This window comes from Homo sapiens, chromosome 7 (genome assembly GCF_000001405.40).
Source record: "Homo sapiens chromosome 7, GRCh38.p14 Primary Assembly".
In the NCBI taxonomy this organism is placed as follows: Eukaryota; Metazoa; Chordata; class Mammalia; order Primates; family Hominidae; genus Homo; species Homo sapiens.
Window position 1 is genome coordinate 29993216 of NC_000007.14, and position 12024 is coordinate 30005239.

General features: G+C 37.1%; 1 long non-coding RNA gene across 1 annotated transcript in view; it reads left to right on the forward strand.

Annotated features, from left to right (window-relative positions):
• Window positions 1-12024, forward strand: part of FKBP14-AS1 (FKBP14 antisense RNA 1) — a 38586-nt gene that overhangs the window by 4560 nt on the left and 22002 nt on the right. The gene's annotated exons all lie outside the window — the stretch shown is intronic.

Below are 12024 nucleotides of genomic sequence, written 5' to 3' on the forward strand. Positions count from 1 at the left end.
ACTGCAATCACTTTTGCACCAACCAACCTAATACTTAAGAGTGAAGTGGGTGAGTCATACGGCAGGTGTATATTTAAATTTATAAAAAGTTGCCAAACTGTATTCCAAAGTGGTTTTTACCATTTTACATTATATCAGAAATATATGAGAGTTCCAGTTGCTCCACATCCTTATCAACACTTGCTATTATCAATCTTCTAAATTTTATCGATTCTCACAAATGTGTACTGAAATCTCCTCGTGGTTTTAATTTATATTGCCTTTTTTTTTTTTTTTTTGAGACAGCATCTCACTCTGTCTCCAGGCTGGAGTGCAGTGGTACGATCTCGGCTCACTGCAACTTCTACCTCCCAGGTTCAAGCAATTCTCCTGCCTCATTCTCCTGAGTAGCTGAGACTACAGCTGCACACCACCATGCCTAGCTAATTTTTCTATCTTTAGTAGAGATGGGGTTTTACCATGTTGGCCAGGATGATCTTGATCTCTTGACCTCATGAGCCACCCGCCTCAGCCTCCCAAAGTGCTGGGATTATAGGCATGAACTACCATGTCCAGCCTATATTTCTTTGCTGATTAATAATGGTGAGCAACTTTTCCTATACTTGTTAGCCATTCATATATGTTCTTTTGGAAAGTGTTTAAGTCTTTTGCCTGTTAAAAAGTTTTATATTTTTAATTAGTATTATTATTACATGTTAAGAATTCCTTATATCTGGATACAAGTTCTTTATCATATTTATGTATTACAAATATATTCTTTCAGTATATGTCTCGCTTTTCATTAGTGGTGTCTTTTGAAGAGAAGATTTTAATTTTGTTATGCTCAATTTATCAATATTTTTTCTTTTATAGTTAATACTTTTTATGTCCTAAGAAATTTTGCCTACTCCAAGGTTGCAAAGATTTTCTTCTATGTTTACATCCAGAGATGTATAGTTTTTTAGCACTTATGTTAAGACCATGGTCCATTTCAAGTAAATTTTTGAATAAGTGGAGGTAAAATTCCAAGTTTATTTATGTGACTATTCAATTGTTCCAGCACCATTTGTTTTCCCCCAGGATTTACCATGCTATTGACAAAAGTCAATTGACCGTGTAAATGTAGGTATATTTCTCAACTCTCTCTTCCATTCTATTGGTCTACATAATTATTCTTTTTTTTTGAGACAGAGTTTCACTCTTGTTGCCCAGGCTGCAGTGCAATGGCATAATCTTGGCTCACTGCAACCTCCGCCCTCCAGGTTCAAGCGAGTCTCCTGCCTCAGCCTCCCAAGTAGCTGGGATTACAGGCATGTGCCACCACACCTAGCTAATTTTGTATTTTTAGTAGAGACGGGGTTTCTCCATGTTGGTCAGACTGGTCTCGAACTCCTGACCTCAGGCGATCTGCCCACCTCGGCCTCCCAAAGTGCTGGGATTACAGGCGTGAGCCACCATGCCCGGCTATGTATTTATTCTTATGCCAATACTATACTCTCTTGATTATTATAGATTTATATCAAGTCTCGAAGTCAGGCAGCTTAAGTCTTCCAAGTTTGTTCTTTTTCAGAACTGTTTTGGCTATTCTAGGTACTCTGCACTTGGTTATAAATTTTAGAATCAGCTTGCCAATTCCTATACAAAATGCTGACTGGAATCACATTCAATCTATAGACCAATTTGAGGAGAATTTACATCTTAATAATATTGAGTCTTCCAATCTATGAACATGGTATATTTCTCCATTTTTTTAGGTTGTCTGTAAGTTTTCTCAGCAAATATTTAGAGTTTTCAGCATACAGGTCTTGGACATATTTTATTTAATAATTATTTCATGTTTTTGGGTGTTATTGTAACTAATCATTTTAAATTTTATTTTTCAATTGTTCATTGCTAGAATATAAAAATGCAATTGGTTTTTGTATATGGACCTTATATCCTATGACTTTACTAAATATGCTTATGAATTCTATTAACTTTTTCATCATTTGTTAGAATTTTCTCTGTACTCAATCATGTTGACTAAAAATACATTTTTAGTTATTCCTTTTCAATCTATTTGCCTTTTAATTCTTTTCCATATCTTATTGCATTTGCTAGGACCTACTTAATGCTATAGAGGAACAGTGAGAACAAACAAGTTCAGTCATTCACCACTAAGTATGATATTATTTGTAGAGTTTTTTACAGATACCATTTATCATGTTGAGGAAGTTTCCTTCTTTTCCTACTTTGCTGATAGTTTTATTTGTTTTTTCATTTGTTTTTAATGATGAATCAGTGTTGAATTTTGTCAGCTGCTTTTTCTGCATCTATTAAGATGATGAAATGCTTTTTATCCTCTATCCTGTAAATACGATAAAATACATTAATTGATTTTCAAATGTTTAACTGCATTTGGGGGATAAATCTCAATTTGGTTATGATGAATTATCTTTTTTATATATTTCTAGGTTGAATGTGCTAATATTTTGCAAAACATTTTTGTGCCTATTTTTATGAGAGATATTGGCATATAGATTGATACATAGTATTCTTTTCTGGTTTTGGTGTATAGGTGATACTGACTTCATAATATAAGCTGGTAAGTGTACCCATCTCTTCTATTTTCTGAGTATTTGTAGGACTGGTATTTTTCCTTCCTTAAATATTTGATAGAGTTTGCTAATGACTTCATCAACCTGGAATGCAGTTTTGATTGTGAAAATATCTTAAAGTATGAATAAATTTCTTAATTGACATATGGTTATTCAGGTTTTTCATTTGTCCTTAAGTCAATTTTGATAAATTGTGTCTTTCAAGGAAATTGTCCATTTCATGTAAGTTGGTGAATTTATTGGAAAAAATAATTTATAGTATTTCTTTATTATCCTTTATTATTCATAGCATCTGTAGCAGTGTCTCCTCCTCTGCACTTCTCTAGGAAATTTGTGTCTTTTTCTTTTTAAGGATTAGTCCAGTAGAGATTTATTGATTCCTCTGATCTTTTTGAAGAACCAGTTTTCAGTTTCACTGATTTTCTCTATTGTTTAAACTTTCTTTTATTTACTTTGAGTTTAATTTGCTCTTCTTTTTCTAGCTTCTTAGAACTTAGATCATTGATTTTAGATTCTTTGTCTTTTCAAAGTATATGTAGGAATAAACCTTTACCTTTAAAAATAAACTTTATATAAGTATATAAAGATATAAATTCCCCTCTAAGCACTGCTTTAGCATCATCCTCCAAATTTGATATGTTATGTATTAGTTTCTTCTGGCTGCTATAACAAATTACCACAAACTTGGTGGCTTAGCTCAAAACAACACAAACATTTCCTCACAGTTCTGGAGGCCAGATGTCTGAAATCAGTATTACTGGGATGGACTCAAGGTATTGACAGGATCTGGCACCATCCAGAGGCTCTCAGGGAGAATCTGTTCCTTGCTTCTGTCAGCATTTGGTGGCTGCTAGCATTCCTTGGCTTGTAGCCACATCACTGCAATCTTCTAGGCCAGCATCTTCCAATCTCTCTTTCTGTTCTGTCTTCACATAGCTTTCAAAACTCTCTGTGATCAAATCTTCCTGTGCCTCCCTCATAAGGATACATATGATTGCATTTAGGGACCGCCATGCTAATCTAGGATAATCTTCCCATCTCAAGATCCTTAACCTAATCATATCCATAAAGTCCTTTTTATTGCCATATAAGATAATATCACAAATTTCAGGAATTAGGATGTAGATATCTTTTAGGAAGCCATTTTCCTCATACCACATGTTGTATTTGCATTTTCATTCATTTTATTTCACTTCATTTTCATATTTTCTAAGTTCTCATATTTCTTTTCCCCATGGGTATTTTTGTTTTATGGCCTAGCTATGGACCATCTTGGTGAATTTTCCATGTGTGTGTTAAAAACCTGTGTATTCTGCTGTTGTTGAGGGTACTGTTTTATAAAAATCAATTAGATCAAGTTGGTTGATAGCATTGTTCAAGTCTTCTATTACGTATAGATTTTTTTTTCCATATTTGTTCTATCAGTTACTAAGAGAGGATTGCTGTAGCCTTGAACTGTATTTGTGGATCTTTCTATTTCTTTTAGTTCTGTCAATTTTTGCATCTTGTATTTTGAGGATCTGTTAGGAGGTACATACATACTTAGGATTGCTATGAATTATTTTAAAATGTCTCTTTTTTCTCTCTGGTAATATTTATTGTCCTGAAGTCTACTTAGTCTAATACTAACAAAGTCACCCTCCTGATTAGCGGTTGCATAGTACATTTTTTCATCGTTTTACTTTTAAACTGTGTTTGTCTTTATAGTGGGATTTTGTAGATACAATATAATTGGATCTTGCTTTTCATTCAATATGACATTTTTTTACTTTTTTAATTGAAGTGTTTTAATCAGTGTTTCTCAAATAGGGGCAATTTTGGACCCAGGGGACATTTGGCAATGTCTGGAGACATTTTTGGTTGTCACAATGGCAGAGGTTGAGGAAGTCTCTACTAGCATCTAGTTTATAAAGACCAGGAATGCTGTTGAACATTCTACAGTGGAAAGGATAGCCTCCTACAAGCAATAATTTTTTATTTTTGAGACTGGATCTCATTCTGTTTCCCAGGTGGAGTACAGCGGCACCTTCATGGTTCACTGCAGCCTGGGTCTCCCAGGTTCAAGTGATCCTCCCACCTCACCCTTCCTAGTAGCTGGGACTACAGGCATGTGCCACCATGCCTGGCTAATTTTTCTATTTTTTGTAGAAACAGGGTTTGCCATGTTGTCCAGGCTGGTCTCAAACTCGTGTGCTCAAACAATCCACCCACCTCAGGCTTCCAAAGTGCTGGGATTACAGGTGTGAAGCACTGTGCACAGCCCCTACCACATTTTCTTGATCCATTAATCTGTTGATAGACACTTAAGCTGATTCTACATCTTGGCTATTGTGAACAGTGCTGCCATAAACTTGGGGGTGCAGATATCTCTTTGAGACACTGATTTAATCCTTTGGATATACATCCAGTAGTGAGATTGCTGGATCATATGGTGACTCTTTTTTAGTTTTTTTGAGAAACCCCCATACTTTTCTCCATAATGGCTGTACTAATTTACATTCCCATCAACAGTATAGAAGAGTTCCCTTTTCTCTGCATTTCTGCCTGTATTTGTTATTTTTTGTCTTTTTGATACCAGCCATTCTAACTGGGGTGAGATGATACCTCATTGTGATTTTGATTTGCATTTCCCTGATGATTAGAGAGGTTGAGCATATTTACATATACTTATTGGCCATTTGTATGTCTTCTTTTTAAAAATATCTATTCAGGTTATTTGCTCATTTTTAAATTGGATTATTTGTTTTTTGCTGTTGAGATATTTGAATTCCTTGTATATTCTGAATATTAATCCCTTGTCAGATGAATAGTTTGGAAATATTTTCTCCCATTCTGTGGGTTGTCTCCTCACCTCACTGATTCACTTCCAATTTTGAAAGGTATTTTTGCTGAGTATGTAGTTTTTGGTTGAGAACTTTTTTCTTTCAACACTTAAAGGAACCATTCAATTTTCATAAGACATTGCCATAAGGCTTGCATAATTTCTGAAGAAAAGTTTGTGTTTGATTACCTTTCTTCCCCTGCTTATATCTTTTTTCCTATGGCTACTTTTAAGATTTTTCTCTTTATCTCAGGCTTTGAGGAATATGATTATGACGTATCTTGGTATGTTCTGTGTTTATCCCACCTAGGCTTTATTGAGTTTCTCGGATCTGTAGGTTTATCATTCCTCTTAAATTTTGGGCCATTATTTCTTCAAATATTTTATCCAGTGCATCCTTCCCCTCACAGATTCAAGAACTCTGATTACCCGTATGTTAGGCCACTTGATATTGTTCCATACATCACTGAGGTTCTTGTTCTTCTGCTTTTAGTCTCTGCTCTCTGTGCTTTATTTTGAATAATTTTGCTTGGTATTTGTTCAAATTTAGTTATCTTTTCTCCTGTAGCCTCTAATCTGCTATCATCTGTGAAATTTTTATAGCAGTAATGTAGTATTTTTCTTTTTTTGAAGCTCAGTTTGGTTCTTTTTTTTTTTTTGAGATGGAGTCTTGCTCTGTCACCCAGGGTGGAGTGTAGTGGCATGATCTCGGCTCACTGCAAGCTCCGTCTCCCGGGTTCACGACATTCTCCTGCCTCAGCCTCCCGAGTAGCTGGGACTACAGGCGCCCGCCACCACTCCCGGCTAATTTTTTGTATTTTTTTTTAGTAGAGATGGGGTTTCTCTGTGTTAGCCAGGATGGTCTTGATCTCCTGACTTCGTGATCCACCCATCTCGGCCTCCCAAAGTGCTGGGATTACAGGCGTGAGCCACCGTGCCCGGCCTCCAGTTTGGTTCTTTTTATATTACCCATTCCTTTCATATGTATTTTTCTTTAAATCCCTGATCATATTTATAATATTTTAATAGCTATTTTAAAGACCATGTATGCTAATTTCATAATTTCTGTCAATTTTTAGTCTGTTGTTGATGATTGATTGATCTCCTGTTTCTGTGCCAGTCTTCCAATTCAGATGCCAGGCTTTGTGAATTTTATGTTGTTGAGTGATGAATTTATTTTTTGTATTGCTTTAAAGAGTGTTGGTGTTGGGCCTTTTTCCAGTGCTCAACACGATGTGGAAGCTGCCAAAGCCAGGGCTTCCACCCTCTGAAGCCACAGCCCGAGCTCTACATTGGCCCCTTTCAGCCACGGCTGCAGTGGCTGGGACACAGGGTACCAAGTCCCTAGGCTACACGCAACACGGGGACCCTGGGCCCAGCCCACGAAACCACTTTTTCCTCCTGGGCCTCCTGGCCTGGGATGGGAGGGGCTGCCGTGAAGGTCTCTGTCATGACCAGGAGACATTTTCCCCATGGTCTTGGGGATTAACATTAGGCTCCTTGCTACTTATGCAAATTTCTGCAGCAGGCTTGAATTTCTCCTCAGAAAATGGATTTCTACTGCATTGTCAGGTTGCAAATTTTCTGAACTTTTATGCTGTTTCCCTTTTAAAACAGAATGCTTTTAACAGCACCCAAGTCACATTTTGACTGCTTTGCTGCTTAGAAATTTCTTCTGCCAGATACCCTAAATCATCTCTCTCAAGTTCAAAGTTCCATAGATCTCTAGGGCAGGGGCAAAATGCTGCCAGTCTCTTTGCTAAAACATAACAAGAGTCACCTTTGCTCCAGTTCCCAACAAGTTCCTCATCTCCATGTGAGACCACCTCAGCCTGGACCTTATTGTTCATATCACTATCAGTATTTTGTCAAAGCCATTCAACAAGTCTCTAGGAAGTTCCAAACTTTCCCACATTTTCCTGTCTTCTTCTGAGTCCTCCAAACTGTTCCAACCTCTGCTTGTTACCCAGTTCCAAAGTTACTTCCACATTTTCAGGTATCTTTTCAGCAATGCCCCACTCTACAGGTACCAATTTACTTTATTAGTTCGTTTTCATGCTGCTGATAAAGACATGCCTGAAACCGGGAAGAAAAAGAGGTTTAATTGGACTTACAGTTCACATGGCTGGGGAGGCCACAGAATCATGGCGGGAAGTGAAAGGCACTTGTTACCTGGTAGTGGCAAGAGAAGAATGAGGAAGAAGCAAAAGCAGAAACCTCCAATAAACCCGTCAGATCTCATGAAGCTTATTCACTATAATGACAATAGCAAGGGAAAGACCGGCCCCCATGATTCAATTACCTCTCCCTGGGTCCCTCCCACAACAGGTGGGAATTCTGGGAGATACAGTTCAAGTTGAGATTTGAGTGGAAACATAGCCAAACCATATCACTGTCCCTTCTCTTTGCCTCCAAGCAGAAAGCTGGGTGGTTGTCTCATTTGTTTCCTTTCTCTTGCGGATCACAAGAGAAAGGAAACAAATGCTCTGCCTGTCATCCAATGTCTGACAACAATTGTTTCATGCATTTTGCTCAGTTTTCTAGTTGTTCACAATAGAACAGCAAGTCCCATAGCAGTTTTTCCTTCATAGGCAGATGTGAAAGCCTAGGAGCACAAATCTTATTGCCTCTAAGGAACCAAATGTCCTGGTGTAGACTCAACTAGACCCATTATTTAGGAAATACAAATGTACAGTCTATTTATAGAACCTCTTCAACATACCAGTAAGAAATATTTATCTGACACATGTACCAAAAATTGCACTCTTGCTACAAGAATGAAAAAGGGGGCTGGGCGCAGTGGCTCACGCCTGTAATCCCAGCACTTTGGGAGGCTGAGGTGGGCGGATCACGACGTCAGGAGTTCAAGACCAGCCTGGCCAACATGGTGAAACCCCATCTCTAGTGAAACCCCATCTCTACTAAAAATACAAAAATTAGCCAGGCGTGGTGGCACGTGCCTGTAATCCCAGCTACTTGAGAGGCTGAGGCAGGAGAATCACTTCAACCCAGGAGGCAGAGGTTTCAGTGAGCCGAGACCACGCCACTGCACTCCAGCCTGGCAACAGAGCATGACTCCATCTCAAAAAGAAAAAAAAAAAAAAAAAAAGGAATATCATAGCCTCTCCTCTCAAGATGTCAGAGACAAGCAAGGAAATTAAGTATAGAGGTAACATAATTAGACGTTAATTATATGTTGCTGTCAGGGTAACACAAAGGTTATGCAAAAATAAATACACGGATCTGACATATTAGGAAATGTAAGCAAGTTTAAAAGATGGCCATCTCTCTCAAAACTTCCTTTTATTAAAAATATTTTCTTAAATAGCCATAAATGAGGGTTACTCAAACCTAGACCATTAAAAAAATTATATATGACAATTTTGCCTTGTCTTCCAACCAGTGTTATTGATTGACTGAAGAACACTATGCATAGATTTTGAGGAGCTTAAAGTGCCGTAGGTGTAATTGCGAAATGCCTTTAACACATTGCATATAGAGGTATTTTCCACTTAGTACTTCTTTCAGTGTATAATAATGGGAGGAGGAAAAAAGACCTGTCACTGGGCAAACCTCATGGGAATGGACTACAGACAGTGCTGTGTGAATTAGGCACTTATGTATGGGTAAGAAAGCCTGCATAATTGCTTTATGTATAATGTTATGAGAACCAAACAAAGAAGCTGACAGAGAAGCCAGGGGAAAATGAGAAAGAAAAGCACTAGTCAAGATTAGTCAGCCACCTGCCTTAATCCTGTGACAACTGTGTTTAGGAGGTTAGTTTTCTGAATTTGGTTACCATAGTAATAGACCTTTAGAATGTCCTTAAATCAATTTACAGAATTACTATTCATATTAAGCAACACAAATAGATTTTAGGTTGTTAAAATCTATTTTTAAATTATTTTTAGAAATGAAATGATCCATCAAGCCCTTTAGATATATAGACAGCCATAAATTGTATTTTGGCAAAGGGAAGTTGTAAGATCGTATTCATTATTATTGGGTGACGGGTTTATAAGTTCAATAATTCAAATATGTCATCTTAATGAATGACTCCTAATAAATTTTAAATAAGATAGAGTTCATGAATGTTCTAGACCTAGCTTTAAAACCAAATATGTATGCTTCACACGCATTCCTACACCTCTAGGAGTCATCTGTGGGTTTAGCCAATTATATGGATAATTTAAAGGGGAATTGCTGAGACCTGGTCTAGTGATCATCCAAGAGCTGCCTAGAGGATTCTACGGTCAGACTTGGGAATTTCAACCGAACTCTTCCTTTTTTTTTTTTTTTTTTCTAGTTTACATGTGTGGAAAACATCCACTTCATTTTATGCAGTTTTTAAATTGGGCTTTTTAATATTCTAGTGACATCTGAAGCTACTTTTTAACAGATGAAGGCTTAGCCAGAATTGTAAAAGTTGGTTCTCTTATATCTGCAATTTTAAGACCACTGCTCACTTAAGATATTAATAATATAAAACTTTAAACAAAAGTTGCAATTTTCTAATTCTTCAGAGAACTAAACAAAGTCTGCTTAAATTGCTGTAGATTGGCGTTCAGTTAAAGGAAGACTTCATTCATGCTATGAGTGATTAAAGGATTCCTGGCCAGGTATGGTAGCTCACAACTGTTAGCACTTTGGAAAGCAAGGTGGGAGGAGCTTTTGAGGTCAGGAATTTGAGACCAGCATGGGTAACATAGCGAGACCCGCGTCTCTACAAAAAATTTTAAAAGTAGCCGGGCGTGGTGGTGTGTGCCTGCAGATTATTTGAGCCCAGAAGTTGGAATGGGGCTGTAATTGCACTATTGCACTCCAGCCTGGGAGACAGAGTTTATTAGTTTCAAACAAAACAAAAAACCCCAGTGATTCCATGTATGAAATTTCTCTGACTCTAGAGAAAGAATATTTTGTTTGAGGCATCCTTGTATTTTCCATGAACCACAGAAAAACTAGTATTAGTTTATTTCATGTCAGATGAATCGCCTGACTTTCAGAGAATTGGGAATAATCTAGATACATGAAAATATTTTAGTGTTTAAATTCCTGATTATTTTTCACTTTCCTTTTCATTGACTTTCTACCCTTAATCATAAACCTAACCCTGGATTTTTACTATTATTATTATATCCCTTGTACCGCTGGTTCTAGATCCTGTAGAGCTGCAATCAGTGTCTTGTTCACCTTTGAATTTCAAAAAGCACCTATCATATTAAAATAAAAATTAAAGGTGGAAACTATCTTACCATCAAATGAATTTATCAGATAATCTCCCTTTTAGCTTTACTCTGCATACAAAGAAAGGACTGAGCTTTAAGAAGTACTAGACAGGCCGGGCGCGGTGGCTCATGCCTGTAATCCCAGCACTTTGAGAGGCTGAGACGGGTGGATCACAAGGTCGGGAGATCGAGACCATCCTGGCTAACACGGTGAAACCCCGTCTCTACTAAAAATACAAAAAATTAGCCGGCCTGGTGGTGGGCGCCTGTAGTCCCAGCTACTCAGGAGGCTGAGGCAGGAGAATGGTGTGAACCCGGGAGGCGGAGCTTGCAGTGAGCCGAGATCGCGCCACTGCACTCCAGCCTGGGCGATAGAGCGAGACTCCGTCTCAAAAAAAAAAGTACTAGACAATGTCCAGACTAGACAAATCCACAGAGAAAGTAGTCTGGTGATTGCTTAGGGCTGGGGGAGTTAGGGAAGGTGAGGAATAACTGCTAATGGGCATGGGCATGTCTTTTTGAGGTGATGAAATGTTCTAACAGTAACTGTGTTGATGGTTGCACAACTCTGAATATACCAAAATTTATTGAACTGTAAAAAAAACATTGTAGTACATATTAATTTTATAAAAAATAAAATAACCTCACCCCCTAAAAAAGAAATATTAGATAACAGTTGAACACTCACTAGCTGAGGAAAACAGGTAAGAGGTAACAGTTTTGAAGATATTATTGCCATAGCAATAAAGCGTTAGGAAAAAAATCCAAGGAGCAGAGTTGATTTACTGCACAGTCTTAATGTAAGAGTTAATTAACGTTAGTAGGCTGCTTAGTTTTCTTTAAAATTTATGATACAAAACCGAAAACCTTGACTATTACCATATGTGGCAAGGAAAGTACATGACATTTTGTGAAAGATAATATCTTATAAAATTTAGCCAAAATAATATAAGGAAAAACTTAAGTGAATATTCTCAAGGAACTATTGATATAAAGACACCAGGAGAGAACAATTATAATCTGGGGAAATTTGACAATTCCAAATGGGAATTTCATTGCAAGACCTTTTTTAAATTTTTCCCTATTTTCCTATAAGTACAATGCTGTCTCTTATTTAAAGGCAAATCACCTTGTATTTGTACTACTATTCCTTTTGGTTAGTCTACCTAAGTCTAATTAAATTTAACTACTAAAGAACCACTTTAAAAATCTGGAATGTCTTAATATATTTTGCAAAAAAATAGCTATATAACAATTTCAGCAGATATGACCGTAATAGAAGAGAATCACCAATATGTGGTTGAATGTTATAATATCCTAGTCTCTTCACGAGAGGTAAAAATTAGATTTAGTTATATTAACATAAAATACATTCTGGCAGAATAAGTCCAACAAATGAATG